The 21,975-nt window shown below is 37.9% G+C and overlaps 1 protein-coding gene across 50 annotated transcripts in view; it reads right to left on the reverse strand.

Moving 5' to 3' along the window:
* The window catches only part of MYO9A (myosin IXA), a 296,310-nt gene that overhangs the window by 239,352 nt on the left and 34,983 nt on the right, over positions 1-21,975 (reverse strand). The window lies entirely within an intron of this gene.

Genomic DNA, 21,975 nt, shown 5'->3' on the forward strand with positions numbered 1-21,975 from the left:
TACAACTTAGGCACCAGCTCAGCCACAGAAAAATAAAGCACCAAGGAGATTCCTAAAGTTCCCAACTCCAGGCCCTAGCTCCCAGCCAGCATTTCCAGACTCACCCTGGGCCAGAAGGGAACCTATCTCCCTGAAGAGAAGCACAGGAGCCTGTCTGAATTCACTACCCACTGACTAAAGCACCCTAGGACACTCAACAAACATCAATAGTAGCCAGGCAATAGTCACCACAGGCCTTGGGCAGGACCCCGTTTTGTGCAGACTTCAGGTCTGACCCAGCACAGTCCAAGAGGTGGTGGTCACGGCGGTGCTTGGGTCACACCTCCCCAATTCCAGGCAGCTCAGCAAGGAGATACAGACTCCACTAGTTTGAGGAAAAGTAAGGGAAGAGAACAAGAGATTCTGCCTGGTAATACAGAGAATTCTGCCAGAACTAACCCAGACCACCAAGGCAGTACCTCTACGAGTCTGCAAAAGCCACAGTGTTACTGGGGCTTGGGGTGTACCCTAATGAAGAGACAGCTACAATAACCAAAGACAGATCATAATACTCAATCCACTTTGAATACTTGAAAACCTTCTAAAGGAGGACAGGTACAAAAAAGCCCAGACAGCAAAGGTTACAACAAATACCTAACTCTTCAATGCCCAGACACCAACGAACACCCACAGGCATCAAGACCATCCAGGAAAACATGACCTCACCAAACAAACTAAATAAGGCAGCAGTGAGCAAACCTAGACAGAGATATGTGACCTTTCAGAGAATTCAAGATACTTGTTTTCAGGAAACTCAACAAAACTCAAGATAACACAGAAGGAATTCAGAATCCTATCAGATAAACTTAACAAAGACTAAAATAATTTTTAGAAATCAAACAGAAATTTGGGAGCTGAAAAATTCAACTGACAATCTGAAGAATGCATCAGAGTCTCTCAACAGCAGAATTGGTCAAGCAGGAGAAACAATTAATGAGCTTGAAGACAGGCTACTTGAAAATACACAGAGGAAGACAAAAGAAAAAAGAATAACATAAGAATAAAGCCTACAAGATCTAGAAAATAGCCTCAAAAGGGCAAATCTAAGAGTTATTGAGGCTGGGTGCTTTATCACACCTGTAATCCCAGCAATTTGGGAGGCCAAGGTGGAAGGATTACTTGGGCCCAGGAGTTCAAGACAGCCAGGACAACATAGAGAGATCCCATCTCTACAAGATAAATATTTTTTAATTAACTGGATGTGGTGGCACAAGCTTGTGGTCCCAGCTACTAAGGAGGCTGAGATGGGAGGATCACTTGAACCCAACAGGTCAAGGCTGCAATGAGCCGTGATCGTGCCACTGCACTCCAGCCTGGATGACAGAGCGAGATCCCATCTATGGAGCTATAGTAACCAAAACAGCATAACAACAGACGAATGAAACAGAATGGAGAACCCAGAAATGAATCCATACATCTATAGTGAATTCATTTTTGACAAAGGTGCTAAGAACACACACTGGGGAAAAGACATTCTCTTCAATAAATGGTGCTTGGAAAACTGGACATCCATATGCAGAAGGGAGAAACTAGACCCCTATCTCTCACCATATACAAAAATCAAAATTAGAATGGATTAAAGATCTAAATCTAGGACCTGAAACTCTCAAACCACTGAAAGAAAACATTGGAGATCTCTCTAGGACATTAGTCTGGGCAAAGATTTGTTGAGTAATACCCCAAAAGCACAGGAAACCAAAGCAAAAATGGACAAATAGGATTACATCAAGTCAAAAAGCTTCTGCATAGCAAAGGCAACAATCAGCAAAGTGAACAGACAACTCACAGAATGGGAGAAAATATGTGCAAACTGTCTATCTGACAAGGGATTAATAAGAATATATAAGGAGTTCAAACAACTCAATAGGAAAAAAATCTAAAAATCTGATTTTAAAATGGGCAAAAGACTGGAATAGACAATGAGATATTATCTTATCACAGTTAAAAAGCTTTTATCCAAGACAGACAACAACAAATGCTGGCAAGGATGTAAAGAAAAGGTAACACTTGTACACCGTTGGTGAGAATGTAAATTAATACAGCCACTATAAAAACAGTTTGGAGGTTCCTCAAAAAACTAAAAACAGAACTACTATATGATCAAGCAAATTAACTGCTAGGTATATACCCAAAAGAACGGAAATCAGTATATCAAAGTGGTATCTGCACTCCCGTGTTTACTGCAGCACTATTCGCAATCACCAAGATTTGGAATCAACCTAACTGTCCATCAACAGACAAATGGATAAAGAAAATGTGATGCATATAATACAATGAAGTAGTATTCAGCCAGCCATAAAAAAAGAATGAGATCCCATCATTTGCAACAACATGGATGGAACTGGAGGATACTATGTTAAGCAAAATAAGCCAGGCACAAAAAGACAAACTTTGCATTATCTCATTCATTTGTGGGAGCTAAAAATTAAAATAATTTGGACTCATGAAAATAAAGAGTAGAGTGATGGTTATCAGAGGCTGGGAAGAGTAGTAAAGGGGCGGAGGAAAGTGGGGATGGTTAATGGGTATAAAAATATAGTTAGAATGAATAAGATGTAGTATTTGACGGCACAAAAGGGTGACTACGGTCAACAATAATTTATTTTACATTTAAAAATAACTAAAAGAAGTATAATTGGAATGTTTGTAACACAAAGAAATGATAAATGCTTGGGGTGATGGATACCCCATTTGCCCTAATGTGATTATTATACACCGTATGCTTGTCAAAATATCTCAAGTACCCCATAAATATATACAACTACTATGTATCCATAAAAATTAAAGTTTTAAAAAGCATAGATGGGGCAGAGAAGAAGGGATTGACTGAAACAAGAGGGAACTCTCTGGAGTTAACGGAAACGTTACACTTATTTTTGGTGGTAATTACACCAGTGTATACCATTTCAAAACTCATACTGAACATTTATGATCTGTGCATTTTATTGTATGTTGTTTCTCAGTTAAAATGAATTTTAAAAAGATACCGCCACACATCTAAGAATAAAACAAAATATACGTAAGGTCGCAAGAAGACCTAAATACATGGAAAAATATACTATATCCAATAATTTGACTTCTGTATCATTAAGAAGCCAACTCTCCCTCAAAATGATCTACAGATTCAGCACAATTCCAAACAAAATACTAGTAGGTTCTGAACAAATTAACAAGCTGATTCTCAATGTGTATTTGAAATCTAATGGACCTAGAATAGCCAAGACAATCTTAAAGAATAACAAAGTTGGAGGACTTATACTACCAAATATCAAGACTTAGTACAAAGCCACAAAAAGTATAGTACTTGGTACAAGGAGAGACACAAGAGAATCCAGAAACAGGCTCCTATACAATGATGTTCTAACTTAAAACAAAGATGCCACTGCAATTCAGTATGGGGGAAGGAAAGGCTTCTATGTCAATGGTGCTGCACCAACTGGATTGTCTAGAAAAATTAATTCATGGACAAAAATTACTTTATGATGGATCATAGACCATGAAAGGTAATAAAATTAACATTTCTAGAATAGATCAAATGAGAATATTTACATGAGCCAGGCACGGTGGCTCATGCCTGTAATCCCAGCACTTTGGGAGGCCGAGGCAGGCAGAACACCTGAGGTCGGGAGTTCAAGAACAGCCTGACCAACATGGAGAAACTCTGTCTCTACTAAAACTACAAAATAAGCCAGGAGTGGTGGCGCATACCTGTAATCCCAGCTACTTGGGAGGCTGAGGCAGGAGAATGGCTTGAACCCGGGAGGCGGAGGTTGCAGTGAGCTGAGATCACGCCACTGCACTCCACCCTGGGCAACAAGAGCAAAACTCCGTCTCAAAAAAAAAAAAAAAAAGAATATTTACATGAACCTAGAGTGGGATCTCGAACAACAACAACAACAAAAAAAACACACTAGGTACTAACCATAAAAAATAATAAATTTGACTTTATTAAAATTAAGAACTTCTATTCAATTAAAAAAATCATTGAGAGTAAAAAGGCACAGAAGATACCTGCAATACACATATCAAAAAAAAGACTTATATCCAGATTTTTGTAAAAACAGCTAAAAAATAAGAAAACTGCCCAATCTTTTTAATGAGCAAAAGACTTAAACAGATTATTATGAGGATATATAAAAGGCCAATATGGATATAAAAAATAAAATTCAACATCTGTAGTAGCTCATTGTTCAAAAATATTCACTTCTTATCCTTACATGCATTGAAGACTTATACTTCCGCAACCATGAATTTTGGCTACACCACAACTTAGTTTAAGGAGTGGAAGGTCAGCAGACATGACATAAACACGTCTTGAAATATGCTTGAACAACTGGATATGACTTCTTGCATTTATGTTACCACTATGAAAAGAACATGTCCCATCTGGCCTACTGGTGCACATAAGAAGATGAGATACACACAGCAGAGCTGTCCCAGCTGACCCACAAATCCTTAACCAAGAAACAAATACTTGAGTACCACTGGAGATTTTCAGGTTAAGCAGTAATAGCTGACTAATACAGGCCAAGTGTGGTGGCTCACGCCTGTAATCCCAGCACTTTGTGAGGCCAAAGCGGGTGGATCACGAGGTCAAGAGATCAAGACCATCCTAGCCAACATGGTGAAACCCGCCTCTACTAAAACTACAATAATTAGCCGGGCGTGGTGGTGCGTGCCTCTAGTCTCAGCTACTCAGGAGGCTGAGGCAGGGGAATCGCTTGAACCCGGGTGGTGGAGGTTGCAGTGAGCAGAGATCACACCACTGCACTCCAGCCTGGCAACAGAGTGAGACTTGGTCTCAAAAAAAAAAAAAAAGAAAGAAAGAAAGAAAAAAGCCAGATAAAAGAGTACAAACTAAATTATCCCATTTATATGAAGTTCACAAACAGACAACATAAATCTATGGATACAGACACCAGAAGCATGGTTTCCTTAGCGGAGAGGAAGTTATATAGGCAGGGCACAAAAGGAAGGCCTTACAAAGTTTTATAAACATTCTATATCTTAATATGGGTGGTGGATAACCGGTATATACATATGTAAGAAATTTTTAACTGTAAATACTGAAGATTTATGCACTTTATTGTATGTTACATGGGAACTGCTTGAACCCGGGAGGCAGAGGTTGCAGTGAGCTGAGGTTGCACCATTGCTCTCCAGCCTGGGCAACAAACAGCAAAACTCCGTCTCAAAAAAAAGAAAACAACAAATTAGTTATTTGTGGTAAAAAGGAATCTGAGGGAAAAAAAGAAATAAAAGAGATTGGTTATTTGAAGTTAAACTGGTATTCCATATAATAAATGTATTATTATACTGCAATCATTACATTATATATTACAATATATAATCATATATTAATACATTATATAATATATAGGTAATCATTAGCAATATTGATAATTATATATTACATAATATAATCTTATATGATATAATCTATTAACTATATTAATTACATAAATTTATATTATAATCTAATATACTTATTAAATATATTAATATTATTACTATATAAATTAAGACTGTCTCAACATTATATTTTACCATAATCACTAAATACCTGAGAAAAGTACAAATATTAGCATCTGGTTTAAATATTATTCCCAATACTAATTAATTAATTTATTTCATTTTATTTTATTTTTGAGACAGTCTCACTCTGCTGCCCAGGCTGGAGTCCAGTGGCGCAGTATCGACTCACTGTAACCTCCGCCTCAGCCTCCCGAGCAGCTGGGATTACAGGTGCCTGCCCACACCTGGCTAATTTTCTGTATTTTTAGTAGAGACGGGGTTTCACCATGCTGACCAGGCTGGTCTCAAACTCCTGACCTCGTGATCCACCCGCCTCAGCCTCCCAAAACGCTAGGATTACAGGCGTGAGCCACCATGCCCAGCCTCCAATATTTATTTTTAAAATATTACACTATTTAAACAGTTTCAAAATAAACTAACCTTTTGCCCTTCTACTGGGACGCCACATGGAGACTAGACTATAACCAAAACATGAATCTTAAATAACTTAAAATCTCTCCCTCCACAAGACATATTTCTATTGTTTGCAAAATGAGATTTTATTTTCTTGATAAAACAGTGTAATATAAAGTACTTAGAAAGCTTCTGTGCTTTTATCCATTTAAGTAATACAATTCCAGAAGCTTCAAATGTTTACTCATTCTATTAAAAATCTTTTAAGGCTATAAAAAAAAATTCATATTGTTTTACTCTGCAAATCTTCTACTCTGTAGAAACCCCCTCAAGTTTACTCATAAGAACAACACAAAGCAGAGTTTAACAGAATAACTAAAAACCTTAGAATTCTTAGTGAAAATACATAAAAACTATTAGTAATTATAAATGATTTTCTTTTCTAAGTCATTTATTCTGAGATTTCCTTTTACTAGTTTAACATACTTGCCTATAGGACTATCAAATCGCCCTTCGACAGTCCTTATAGAAAATAAGAATATTTCCAACAGCTTTCTCACTAGGCTTCCATTCTCTACATAAAGATATTAAGTAAACATGCATCTAGTGAGTCCTATGAGATAAAGAATGTCCTACACCTAAGCAGTACTTCTCTGAAATTCTGTAATATTTATTTTACTAATTTTTTTAAAAAAAGCTTTATTGAGAATATATAGTTGGACACTGTGCTGTGTGCTTTATATGTATTACTTCATTTAATAAGAAATATGTGATATTATACCCATTTCTAGATTTAAAAAACTAATGCCATAGATGTGATGTTCCCAAGATACTACAACTACTATGTTGATGATTACAAACTAGATCCCAATTTCTCTTTTTTTTTTTTTTCCTTTTTGGGACAGGGTCTCATTCTGTTGCCCATGGCTCACTGCAGCCTTGATCTTCCTGGCTCAAGCCATCCTCCCACCTCAGCCCCCCAGGTAGCTGGGACTACAAGTGACAGCCATCATGCCTGGTTAATTTTTTTTATTTTTATTTTTATTTTTGCAGAGACAGGGTCTCCCTATGTTGCCCAGGCTAGTCTTGAAGCCTGGGATCAAGTGATCCTCCCACCTTGGCCCCACAAAGTGCTGGGATTACAGGTAAGAGCCACCATACCCAGCCATATCCCAATTTCTTTACCAATATGCTACTCTTAGCACAAATAAGAACCATGGCAATAATTAATGATAATGAATAACTGCATCAAACACTCATACAGCATTTACTGTATGTTTTAATCATTCCATCCTCATAACAACCCTAAGGAAAGGCACACTATTATGTCTTATTTTACAGATCAAGAAACTGAAGTACATAGACTTTGCCACTTGTCTAAGGTTACAGGCCAGTACATGGCAGAGCTAGGATGTGCACATCAGCAGTCCAGCCCTAGAATCTGGGAGCTAAACCACTATGCCACTTTGCCTTTCACAAACTGCCTTATACTGCCTCATAGCTGATAAGGTATATATCATATCTCCTTTATGAACTCACAAGCTCTTAGGTAGCAAAGACCAAGACTTCTAACCTAATCAGCATTAGACTTTTGCCAGCATAGGGACTGGTAAATAATAAAAAGAAACTAGAAGGTGCACTGAGGTCCTAAGGAAAGCTTCTTTGTAGTAGTGACTCTTGAGGTTAACCTTGCCACTGAACTCTACAATTGTATATGTAATTGTTTAGTGCATATTTGATAGTCTCCCCTACTAGTATATAGGCTTGTTAAGGGTAGAATATTTTTTTGTCTTTCCATCTGCTATACAACATTCAAAAATAAATAAAATAAATAATAAAATAATAAAAATTCAAAATGTTTGTTGAATAAATATGTGAAAAACTTTATTACAGAGGGTTATACTTCACAATCCCTACTATCAACAGAATCAATACAAGATCTCTAGATAAGAGATTCACAGCAATTAAATAATTTGTGACAAACCACTTATCAGGTTATGGAAGCAGACAGGAGAATAGAAAAAGATAGTGATAGAAGGTAGAAACATGTATTACTTAAACCCAACAGTAAATATAGGAGCAAAGTAAACAGTGACTCTTTTTTCTCCTTTAATTTGCATACTCATGAATTTTTATCCCTCCTTCATTTTCTTTCAGAATACCCTTCAGTTGAGTACCTCTTCTGACTTTCAATTAGAATGGGGGGGTGGGGCGCAGGGCCGGGGGAGGCTGGTGTGGTGGCTCACGCCTGTAATCCCAGCACTTTGGGAGGCTGAGGTGGGTGGACTGCCTGAACTCAGGAGTTCGCAACCAGCCTAGGCAACACGGTGAAACCCTGTCTCCACTAAAAATACAAAAAAAAAAAAATTAGCTGGGCATGGTGGCGGCATGCACCTGTAGTCCCTGCTACTCAGGAGGCTGAGGCAGGGGAATCACTTGAACCCGGGAGGCAGAGGTTGCAGTGAGCCGAGATATCTCCACTGCACTCCAACCTGGGTGACACAGTGAGACTATGTCTCAAAAAAAAAAAAAAAAAAAAGAATGAACGTAGGCCCAGCGAGGTGGCTCATGCCTGTAATCCCAGCACTTTGGGAGGCCGAGGCAGATGGATCACCTGAGGCCACGAGTTCGAGACCAGCCTGGCCAACATGGTGAAACCCCATCCCTACTAAAACTACAAAAAAAAAACAAAAAACTACCCAGATGTGGTGGCACACGCCTGCAGTCCCAGCTACTCGGGAGGCTGAGGCAGGAGAATCACTTGAACCGGAAGGCAGAGGTTGCAGTGAGCAGAGATTGTGCCACTGTACTCTGGCCTGGGCAACAGATTGAGACTCTGCCTCAAAAAAAAAAAAAAAAGAATGAGGGGCAGGCCTCAATCTACGGGTTAATCCACTTATGAGCTCTACAAATATCTGCACATTTTGGAGGCCTTGTTGACAATATAGATATACTCAATGACACAATAAAATACTGAGACTTAGGCAGGAGAATTGCTTGAACCCAGGAGGTGGAGGCTGCGGTGAACCAAAACCGCGCCACTGCACTCCAGCTGGGCAACAAAGTAAGATTCCATCTCAAAAAAGAAAAAAAGACACAGTAATCAATGGAACAGAATAGAGAACCCAGAAACAAAGCCACATACCTACAACCAACTGATCTTCAATAAAGTTGACAATAATAAACAATGGGGAGATGACACCCTATTCAATAAATGCTGCTGGAAATACTGGCTACCCATATGCAGAAGAATAAAACTGGACCCCTACCTCTCACCATATACAAAAATTAACTCAAGATGGATTAAGCACTTAAATGTAAGACCTCAAACTATAGAAATCCTAGGAGGAAACTAGAAAAAAAATTCATCTGAACATTTGCCTAGGCAAAGAATTTATGACTAAGACCTCAAAAGAAACTGCAATAAAACCAAAAACTGACAATCAGGCTTAAACTAAAGAACTTCTGCATAGCAAAATAAAAATATCCACAGAGTAAACAGACAACCTACAAAATGGTAGAAAATATATGCAAACTATGCATCTGACAAGAGACTAGCACCTGGAATCTATAAGGAACTTAAATCAACAAGAAAAAACAAACCATCTCATTAAAAGGTGGGCAAAGGACAGGAACGGCACTTCTCAAAAGATGACATACAAGCAGCCAACAAATATGAAAAAAATGCTCAGCATCACTAATCATCAGGGAAATGCAAATTAAAACCACAGAGATATCATCTCACACCAGTCAGAATGGCTATTATTAAAAAGTCAAAAAAATAAGAGATGTTGGCAAGTATGTGGAACAAAAGGGAACACTCACACATTTGGTAGAAATATAAATTAGGGTCAGGCGCAGTGGCTCACGCCTGTAATCCCAGCACTTTGGCAGGCCAAGGCAGGTGGATCACTTGAGATCAGGAGTTCAAGACTAGCCTGGCCAACATGGTGAAACCCCGTCTCTACCAAATATACAAAAATTAGCCAGGCATGGTAGCACACGGCTGTAATCCCCGGTTACAGAGGCAGGTTACAGAGGAGGCTGAGGCAGGAAAATTGCTTAAGCCGAGGAGACAGAGGCTGCAGTGAGCCATGATCCCACCACTGCACTCCAGCCTGGGCGACACAGCGAGACTCCATCTCAAAAAAAATAAAAATAAAAAAGAAATGTCAGTTAGTTTAACCCCTATGGTAAACAGTATGGAGATTTCTCAAAGAACTAAAAATTAAACTACCATTTGACCCAGCAATCCCACTACTGAGTATCTACCCAAAGGAAAATAAATTTTTCTATCAAAAAGATACCTGCTTAGCCAGGTGTGGCGGTATATGCCTGTAGTCCCAGCTATTCGGAAGGCTGGGGTGGGAGGATCACTTGAGCTCAGGAGGCAGAGAGGTTGCAGTGAGCCAAAATCATACCACTGCACTCCAGCCTGGGGTGACAGAGTGAGAGCCCATGTCAAAAAAAAAAAAAAAAAGTATATATAATATACATAAAAGAGAAAAAAGATACCTACATTCTTTTTCTTTTTTTTTTGGAGACGGAGTCTTGCTCTGTCACCCAGGCTGGGGTGCAGTGCCGTGATCTCAGCTCACTGCAAGCTCCGCCTCCCAGGTTCATGCCATTCTCCTGCCTCAGCCTCCAGAGCAGCTGGGACTACAGGCGCCCGCCACCACGCCTGGCTAATTTTTTGTATTTTTAGTAGAGACGGGGTTTCACCGTGTTAGCCGGGATGGTCTCGATCTCCTGACCTCGTGATCCACCCGCCTCGGCCTCCCAAAGTGCTGGGATTACAGGCGTGAACCACAGCGTCCAGCCAAAAGATACCTACACTCTTATGTTTATCACAGCACTATTCACAATAGCAAAGTTATGGAATCAATCATCAATGTAAGTGCCCATCAATGGCAGATTGAGTAAAGAAAATGTGATACATACACAAAATAGAATATCACACTACCATAAAAAATAATGAAATCATGTCCTTTGCAGCAATATGAATGCAGCTGGAGGCCATTATCCTAAGTGAATTAATGCAGAAACAAAATGAAATACCAAATATTCTCACTTTTAAGTGGGAGCTAAGTAGCGGGTATAGATGGACATAAGGATGAAACACTGGGGACTCCAAGGAGTGTGAGGAGGGGAGGAGGGAAAGTCTGAAAAACTACCTATTGGGTATTATGTTCACTATTTGGGTGATGGGTTCAGTAGAAACCCAAACTCCAGCGCTACACAATATACCCTTATAAGGAACCCGCACGTATACACCCTGAATCTAAAATTTAAAATAAAAAAAAAGACACCTTCACTCATATGTTTATTATAGCACTAGTCACAAATAGCACTGTTCACAAGTCATGGTCTCAACTTAAGTGTCCATCAATGGACATTATTATTCTCTGACCTCCCTATAAGTAGACATATTTCCCTTTAAGACCAGTCATGGTTAGTAATCAATTCTTACTGAATCATCCTCTAATAATATGGATACTTAGGACAGTATGGAGATATTAACAAACCATTTGTTCCCACAAGCTGAAACTAAGCCATTACTTACCACCTTTCAAGTGTGACCATCCATTACTACATTAATACATTCACCTCTAAATATCATTAAGACTCAGATCAGCAACTTGTAACATTTGCCCCAAATACTTAAAAATCATTCACTTGGTTCCTGTAACAAAAATGGATCAGAAGAGGTAATTATTTCAACCAACTACCGCCACAATTGTCAGGGTCCATGGAACATCAAAAAATTATAACAAAATAATACCATCTTGCAACAGCCATTGTATCTAGGCATACCCCTGCTCTTTGTTCCATAGAGTCAACATATAACTCTTATTCACATCTCAAGGAATCTAACTTAAAATATATTCCATGGATGACCTCCTAAAAACTGAAAGAAATTTAGATTAAAAAGAGCCACACTTTGATTGAACAAATACATACCTATAGCTGAGATTAGCTGTTTAACAATGGTTCAACATGGCAATGATTTTATAGCAAAAGTCCCTGGGGAGTTATAAAAACAGAAACCTAGCACTGATATACAGTAATCTTCTGATATAATTTGATATACAGTAATTTGGATAACTCTTACAGACCAAATTGAGGTATCTACTAACCGAAAGGAAACAAAAGGAAAGGCCACCAATGATAAGTATTATGTAAATATGGCAGGTATCACAGCCTAATAAAATTAAAAGACTCCACAAATTTTTGAAAAAACAGAAGTAGCTGTGTGACCTGGGACAAGTTATTTAACTTCAAATATTATTCATTGGGATTTAATCATGGTCTACTTCTGGGGTCCACAAAACTTTTTCTCTATAAAGGGCCAGACTGTAAGTATTTTAGGTCTTACAGGTCATATGGTCTCTGTCCCAACTACTCAACTCTTCCTTTGCAGAATGAAAGAAGCTATAAACAAAAATTTATCCTCACATCACCTGCCTTTACACATAAAAAATGAAGTCTAGAAAAAAATTAACTGATGGAAATTTAGATTTGACTAGGTATTAATGTGTGATAATAATAATAAATTAACCATGCTCTCAGTGGAAATGAGAAAAGCAAGTCATCTCAGAATCCATCAAATTTGTTCATGCTATTAAAAACTTAGAATACCACCTTTTCAACCTGTACTAAACAAGAAACTAATAAAATACTGAAAGTTCTTCCAGTTAGAATTTAAAGGTCACAAGGGAGAATCACTCCACTATATTAAAAAGACAAAGCTAAACTATAAAATCCAAATTTTAAAACTCATCGGAGAGCTGAGAATACAAAGAAGTCTGAAAAAAACAACAACAACAACAAAAAACAATTCCAGAAAGGAAAAAGCCCTTTCTAGGCTAACAGACAAGTGACTACTTTCAACTCTGAGATCATGGTGAACACAGGAATGAATAATCCTATAGACTGATACGATGGACCAAATTCCAAAGAAGTCCCACAAGTAAAGTTAATCAAAACAACCTAAAAATTCTTCCCCATGGAGCTTTAATAGAGTATACATCAATGTGCACTAATCTAGGGGTAGACTCGGAGGGCAAAGTGAGATGATCTGCAGAGTAGAAAGTCAAGTGCAGTGCTAAAGCAGAGAGATCCCCGGAACTTAGCTAAACTTAAATCTCAAGATCTATTGTAGAGTGAAGACTGAATCCTCCCTTAAAACACTTGAAACCAAAAATAACTACAGTTGCAGCTCAGCCCAGACATAACTCAATTCCATGTCAGAATTAATAGTTTAGTCCCTTTTTTGATCTGTCTGAGGAATTAGCATGTCTTTTCTCAGGAAGAAGCAGTTAGAAATTTCATTTTCACTGCCTTTTTTTTTTTTTTTTTTTTTTTTTTTCTTGAGACAGAGTTTTGCTCTTGTTGCCCAGGCTGGAGTGCAATGGCACGATCTCAGCTCACTGTAACCTCCACCTCCCAGGTTCAAGCAATTCTCCTGCCTCAGCCTACCAAGCAGCTGGGATTATAGGTATGCGCCACCACGCCCAGCTAATTTTGTATTTTTTTAGTAGAGACAGGGTTTCACCATGTTGGTCAGGTTGGTCTCAAACTCCTGACCTCAAGTGATCCACCCGCCTCGGCTTCCCAAAGTGCTGGGATTACAGGCATGAGCTACCACGCTCAGCCTTCACTGCTCTTTTTACATTTAATATTCACATATAATAAAAATTACAGGATAGTCAGTCATGAAAATGTGACTTATAGGCAAGAGAAAAAAGTCAACACTAACCCACGGATGATGCAGATTGGAATGAGCAAAGACTTTAAAATAAATTTTATAAAAATATATGATATTATTATGTATAATCTTATAGAGAGAAAAAACATTGATTAAATATATTTTGTCACAGAAGAAGAAATTTGGGGGAAAAAGAGCCAAATGGAAATTCTCAAGTAAAAAATATTTGAAAAGTTCACTAAATAGACTTAATAACAGATGAGACACAGAAAAGATCCATGAATTCAGAGAGGTCAACACAAACTATCCAAATTAAAACGAAGAAAGCCAGGCACAGTGATTCACGCCTGTAATTCCAGCACTTCAGGAGGCCAAGACAAGAGGACTGCTTGAGTCCAGGAGTTCAAGACCAGCCTGGGCAACATAGCAAGACCCCATCTCTACAAAAAAAATTTATAATAAAAATAATAATAAAGTAAGAAATACTAAAGTAATTTCTTCAGACTGAAGGAAAATAATCTCAGACAGAAGTCTAGATCTGCAAGAAGGAATGAAGAGTACTAGAAAATATTGTGAACAAGACAGCTATGTCTACTGTTACCACTTCTGTTCAACACTGTACCAGTGGTAACAGCAAGTGCCATAAAGCAATAAAAAGAACTGAAGGCATGAAGACTGGAGGAAGAATTAAAACTATCTTTATGGGCCAGGCGTGGTGGCTCATGTCTGTAATCCCAGCACTTTGCGAGGCTAAGGTGGGCAGATCACTTGAGGTCAGGAGTTTGAGACCAGCCTGGCCAACATGGCAAAACCCCATCTCTACTAAAAATACCAAAAATTATCCAGGCATGGTGCCATGTGCCTGTAATACCAGCTACTAGGGAGGTTGAGGCAGGAGAATCGCTTAAACCTGGGAGGAAGAGGTTGCAGTGAGCTGAGATCATGCCACTGCACTCCAGCCTGGGCGACAGAGTGAGACTCTGTCTCAAAAAAAAAAAAAAAAACCTTATTAGTCTCAGATAATGAGACTTTATATATGGAGGATCCAAAGAAATAGACAAACTAGTAAAACTAATAATTGAATTTGGCAAGTTCAAAAGATACAAGGTCAATCTACACAAATCAAATATATTTCTAAATACTCCATGAAAGAATGGAAAATGACATTTTTAAATACCATTTATAATATACTCAAAAAACAAACACTTAGCAATAAAATTAACCAGAATATGTGAAAGATCTCTAACGTGAAAACTATGAAACTTTGCTAAAAGAAATTAAAATCTCAATGAATGTAGATATACCATGTTCAAGAAGAGGAAGACTCAGTATTACTAAGATGTGAATTTCCCAAAACTCATCTATAGATTCAACACAATCTCAATCAAAATCCCAGCAAAGTTACTTTGTGAATATTGACAAACTTATATCGTTTATATGGAAAAGTAAAAGACCAAGAATAGCCAATACAATATTGAAGGAGAAAAACAAGGTCAGACACTACAAGATTTCAAATTTACTATAAAACTACAGTAAATCAAGACTGGCAAAACAATACACAAACAGATCAATGAAACAGAAAAGAGAGTCCAGAAACAGACCCACACAAATATAGTCACCTGATCTTTGACAATGAAACAAAGGCAAGTCAATGGAAAAAGGATAGTCTTTTCAACAAATGGTGCTGGAAAAACTAGACAACTACATCCAAAAAAAAAAAAATCTCAACACAGACCTTACACGTTTCACCAAAAATTAACTCAAAATGGATCGCATATCTGAGTGTACCACACAAAACTATTAAACTCCTATAAGACAGCATGGGGGAAAATCTTGGTAAACTTAGGCTTGGTGATGACAGTATAAGAGAAAATCTTGCTAATCTCAGCCTTGGCAATGACGTTTTAGATACAACACCAAAAGCACAAACCATAGAAGAAATAATTGATAAGCTGGACTTCATTAAAAATAAAAACTTCTGCTCTGCAAAAGGCACCGTTAAGAGAATGAAAAGACAAGCCACAGACTGACAGAAAATCTTTGCAAAACACATATATGATAAAGGACTAGTATTCAAAATATACCTTAAAGATGCCGGGCGCCATGGCTCACATCTGTAATCCTAGCACTTGGGGAGGCAGATGTGGGTGGATCATTTGAGGTCAGGAGTTTAAGACAAGCCTGGCCAACAGGCTGAAACTCCATCTCTACTAAAAATACAAAAATTAGCCAGGTGTGGTGGTGCATGCCTATAATTCTAGCTACTCAGGAGGCTGAGGCAAGAGAATCACTTGAACCGGGGTGACGGCAGGGTGGTGGCAGGGTGGCGGGGGGCGGCGCGGGCAGAGGTTGCAGTGAGCCAAGATCATGCCATTGCACTCCAGCCTGGGCAACAGAGTGAGACTCTGTCTCAAAGAAAAAAAAAAAAAAAAAAAATATATATATATATATATATATATATATAAACACATAAACACACACACCTCCAATAACTCTTAAAACACAATAATAAGGAAATGAATAACCCAATTAATATGGGCCAAGTGGGAAATCTAAACAGACATCCCACCAAAGAAGATATACAGACAACAAATAACTAAATGAAGATACTCAAAATCATATTTGTTAGGGAACTGAAAATCAAAACCATGGTGAGATAGTACTATATGCCTATTAGAATGGCAAAATTCTGAAACAATGACAAAACCAAATGCTAGTAAGAATGTGGAATTACAGGAACTCTCATTCATTGCTGGTGGGGATGCAAAATAGTACAACCACTTTTCAAGACAGTTTGGCAGTTCTTACAAAACTAAACATACTTTTGCCATATAATCTACCAACCATGCTCACTGGTATTTACCCAAATGAGCTAAAAATTCACTTCACTACAGGGCTTGCCAGGGTGGCTCATGCCTGTAATCCTAGCACTTTGGAAGGCTGAGGTGGGAGGAACGCTTGAGCCTAGGAGTTCAAGACCAGCCTGGGCAATGTGGTGTGACCTCCTTCTCTACAAAAAATAAAATTAGCCAGGCATGGTGGTACATGCCTGTGGTCCTAGCTACTCAGGAGGCTGAAGTGAGAGGATCCCTTGAACCAGAAAGATAGAGGCTAGAGTGAGCCCAGATCATACCACTGCACTCCAGCCTGTGGGACCCTGTCTCAAAAGGCAAAACAAACAAAAATTACCTCCACCCAAAAACCTGCAGACAGAAATCAGACACAGTGGCACATGGCAACAGTCCTCACTATTCAAGAGGCTGAGGTGGGAGAATTGCTTGAGCCCAGGAGTTTGGGGCCAGCCTGGGCAATATGGTGAGAAACTGTTGCTAAAAATAAAAAAATAACTTTAAAAACCTGCACATGGATGTTTACGGTAGCTTTATTTATGATTGTCAGAAATTGAAAGCCACCAAGATGTCCTTCAAAAGGTGAATAAACAAACCCTAGTATCCATACAATAGAATATATTTCAGCAATAAAGACAAACGAGCTATCGAACCATGAAAAAATACAGAGGAATCTTAAATATACATTGCTAAGTAAATCCAAAAAGCCTATGTACTGTATGATTCCAACTACATGACATTCTGGAAAAGGCAAAACTATGGCGACAGCAAGAAGACAGTGGTTGAAAAGCGTTGTGGGAGGTGAAAGGATGAAAAGGTAAAAGCATGAGATTTTTAAGGCAGTGAAACTATTCTCTATGATACTGTAACGGTACAGACATGTCATTATACATCTGTCAAAACCCACAGGATGTAGGACACAGAGAGTGAACCCTAAACTACAGACCACAAATAGTAACGATGGATTAATATGGCTCATCAACTGTAACAAATGGACCTCACTTAACCAAGATGCTAAACAATAGGGGAAACTGTGGGGGCAGGAGGAGGAGCAAGGTGATATCCGGAAACTCCGTATTTTCTGCTGCATTTCACTGTAAACCTAAAACTGCTTTAAAAAATAGACCCTATTAAAAATAAAAGAAAATTTAAAATTTTAAAAATAAAGTATATTAATTAAAATAATTTTTAGTTGCTTACAAAGTCATCAACCTGCATACTATAAAATTTTGGCATTTTATTGTAAATTAAAACTTAATTTTTTAAAATGTAATACTCAACAGTCTCTTAGGCCTTCTATCTGAAGATGAATATCGAAAAAAGGATACAGTATAATATGCATGTGTTTTAAAAATGCAAGGTGACATATGGTCTACAAGTGCATATGCATATATATAAGTAAATGCACAAATAAATATATGAAAACACATATACCAAACTGGAAAGAGCACCACTAGGAAACGAACACTATGGAAAACCAACACTACTGTGAAGGGAATGAAAGGAAAAGATGGGGGATGTGGAGTGTGTCCTAATCCATATGTCTTGATCTCTCTTAAGAGGATCTACATTAATGTTTCCAATTCGCTATTATTAGGTTTTATACTACATTTAAAATGTAGGCTTCAGAATCTGAAGAGGAATTTCAAAATGTTTTATAAATCTTTAAGACTAAACAGCCTCAGCATAAACTAACATTGGAGACAGATTTTTACCTGTAAGTATTTCTGCACCTGTATTTAAAAGTATAAAAAAGTATTTAAAAGTTTAAAAAAGCATTTTTACCTGTAAGTATTTAAAAGGAATTTTAAATCACTCAATAGTGATTGATCAGGCAAGGAACAAGTATTATCTGCTGATTCTTAGTTTGTCTGTAATGCCATCCCTACAAAGACTGTATTTCCATTGCACCCTCCTTTTATTACTCGGCTGATTATACCCTAAAACACATACACACTCCTCCCTGGTGTAGATGCTGACAGCTTAATTCACATTATATAATTCATATAATAGTGAAGTTGTAATACAGAATGCAACAGTATCCATTATATCAGAATAAGGAAGAAAACTGGTCTGAGATGTGCTATTATGATATAAAATCAACTAACAACGTACCAATCAATAAACTAACCATGCTTCTCTTTTTTTTTTTTTTTTTTGGTAAATGTGGGTATTTTAATTTTCCTTGATAAGGACAAATATGGCCATGAGAAGTTTCTCTGGGAGTTTCATCATCTGCCATTTACAGAGAGTGGGAAGTTATGCAGCAATTAGCCTAGGAGAGAAGTGTCCACCAACCTATGAAGACAGTCTCCACAGCTCAAGGAGACAGTAAGAGCCAGAAAGCGTTAATACCAGTCACCCCAAAAATGCAAAGATCCTCCCAGTAAGCTACTTAAAAAATGTAAAAAGTGAGGTCTAAATTGTGAAATTATACTTTTTGGGTTTTTTTTTTACTTTTAAGTTCAAGGGTACATGTGCAGGTTTCTTATAAAGGTTAACTCACATCACAGGGGTCTGCCGTACAGATTATTTCATCACCCAGGTATTAAGCCTAGTACCCATTGGTTATTTTTCCTGATTCTCTCTCTGCTCCCACCCTCCACCTCATCAATTAGCTTCCACTTATGAGTAAGAACATGTGGTATTTGGTTTTCTGTTCCCATATTAGTTTACTATGAATAATGGCCTCCAGCTTCATCCATGTTCCTGCAAAGAAAATGATCTTGTTCTTTTTGATGGCTACACAGTATTCCATGGTGTATATATACACCACATTTTCTTTACCGGTCTACCACTGATGGGCATTTAGGTTGATTCCACGTCCTTGTTATCATAAATAGTGCTGCAGTGAACAAACACACATGTGTACATGTCTTTAGGATAGAATGATTTATATTACTTTGGGTATACACCCAGTAATGAGATTGCTGGGTTGAATGGTAGTTCTTTTTAGGTCACTGAGGAATCACCACACTGCTCTCTACAATGGTTGAACTAATTTACACTCCCACCAACTCTGTATATGTGTTCCTTTTTCTCTGCAACCCCGCTAGCATCTGTTATTTTTGACTTTTTAATAATAGTCATTCTGACTGGTGCGAGGTGGCATCTCATTGTGGTCTGATTCACATTTCTCTAATTATCAGTGATGTTGAGTGTTTTTCCACATGCTTGTTGGCCACAGGTATGTCTTCATTTGAAAAGTGTGTGTTCATGTCCTTTACCCACTTTTTAGCGGGTTTTCTTCTTGTAAATTTAAATTCTTTATAGGTGCTAGATATTAGATCTTTGTCAGATGCAGTTTCCAAAACTTTTCTTCCATTCTGTAGACTGTTTACTCTGTTAATAGTTTCTTTTGCTGTGCAGAAGCTCTTTAGTCACTCTAAGCTCTTTGTCAATTTTTGCTTTTGCAATTGCTTTTGGTGTCTTCGTCATAAAATCTTTGCCCATTCCTGAGTCCAGAATGGTAGTGCCTAGGTTGTCTTCCATGGTTTTTACAGTTTTAGGTTTTAAATTAGAGACTTTAATCCATCTTGAGTTAATTTTTGTACACGGTGAAAGGAAGGCATCGTTTCAATCTTCTTCATACAGCTAGCCAGTTATCCCAGCACCATTTATTGAGGAGGGAGTCCTTTGCCCATTGCTTGTTTTTGTCAGCTTTGTTGAAGGTCAGATGGTTGTAGGTGTGCCTTATTTCTGAGCTCTCCATTCCATTGGTCTATATGTCTATTTTTGTCCCAGTACCATGCTGTTTTGTTTCCGGTAGCCCTTTGTAGTACAGTTTGAAGTCTGGTAGATGCCTCCAACTTTGTTGTTTTTGCTTAGGATTGCCTTGACTATTTGGGCTCTTTTTTGGTTCCATATCAATTTTTAAATATTTTTTTCTAGATCTATGAAGAATGTCATTGGTAGTTTGATAGGAATAGCACTGAATCGATAAACTGCTTTGTGTAGTATGGCCATTTTAACAAACTGATTCTTCCTATGAATGTGGAATGTTTTTCTATTAGTTTGTGTCATCTCTGATTTCTTTCAGCAGTGTTTTCTAGTTCTCCTTGTAGATATCTTTCCCCTCCCTGGTTAGCTGTATTCCTAGGTATTTTATTCCTTTTGTGATGATTGTGAATGGGATTTGTGTTCCTAATTTGGTTCTTGGCTTCTTGACTGTTGGTGTATTGGAATGCTAGTGATTTCTGTATGTTGGTTTTATATCCCGAGACTTTGCTGATGTCATCAGCTTAAGCAGCTTTTGGGCTGAGATTATGAGGTTTTCTAAATATAGTCATGTCATCTGCCAAGGACATGGACAGGGACATGGACAGGGATAGTTTGACTTCCTCTCTTCCTATTTAAATGCCCTTTATTTCTTTCCCTTGCCTGATTCCTCTGGCCAGGACTTCCAATACTATGTTGAATTAGGCAGTGATGGAGGGCATTCTTGTCTTGTGCCAGATTAAGACAAATGTTTCCAGTTTTGGCCCATGCAGTATGATGTTGGCTGTGGGTCTGTCTTATTATTTTGAGGTATATTCCTTCAATACCTCGTTTATTGAGAGTTTTTAACACGAAAGGCTGTTGAATTTTATCAAAATTCTTTTCTGCATCTATTGATATAATCATGTGGTTTTTTTAGTTGTTTATGTGACGAATCACATTTACTGATTTGCATATGTTGAACCAACCTTGTATCCCAGTGATAAAAGCCTACTAGATCATGGTGGGTAAGTTTTTTGACATGCTGCTGAATTTGGTTTGCCAGTATCCTGTTGAGGATTTTTGCATTGATATTCATCAAGCATGCTGGCCTGCAATTTTTTTTGTTGTGTCTCTGCTAGGTTTTGATATCAGGATGATACTGGCCTCACAGAATGAGTTAAGGAGGGGTCCCTCCTCCTCAATTTTTGGGAATAGTTTCAGTAGGAATAGTACCAGCTCTTCTTTGTATATCTGGTAGAATTTGGCTTTGAATCCATCTGGTCCTGGGCTTTTTTGCTCGATGGGCTATTTATTACTGATTCAACTTCAAAACTCATTACTGACCTGTTCAGAGATCCAATTTCTTCCTGGTTGAGTCTTAGGAAGGTGTACGTATCTAGGAATTTATACATTTCTTCTAGATTTTCTAGTTTCTGTACACAGAGGTGTTCATAACAGTCTGATGATTATTCCTATTTCTGTGAGGTCAGTGGTAATAGCCCTTTTGTTGTTTCTAATTGTGTTTATTTGGACCTTCTCCATTTTCTTATTAGTTTAGCAAGCAATCTATTAATTTTTTCAAAAAACCAAATCCTAAATTCACTGATGTTTTGAATGGTTTTTCGTGTCTCAATCTCCTGCCATTCAGCTTTGATTTTGGTTATTTCTTGTATGCTGCAAGTTTGGGGGTTGGTTTGCTCTTGGTTTTCTAGTTCTTTTAGTTGTGATATTAGGTTGTTAAATTGAGATCTT

This window comes from Homo sapiens, chromosome 15, assembly GCF_000001405.40.
Source record: "Homo sapiens chromosome 15, GRCh38.p14 Primary Assembly".
Classification (NCBI taxonomy): Eukaryota; Metazoa; Chordata; class Mammalia; order Primates; family Hominidae; genus Homo; species Homo sapiens.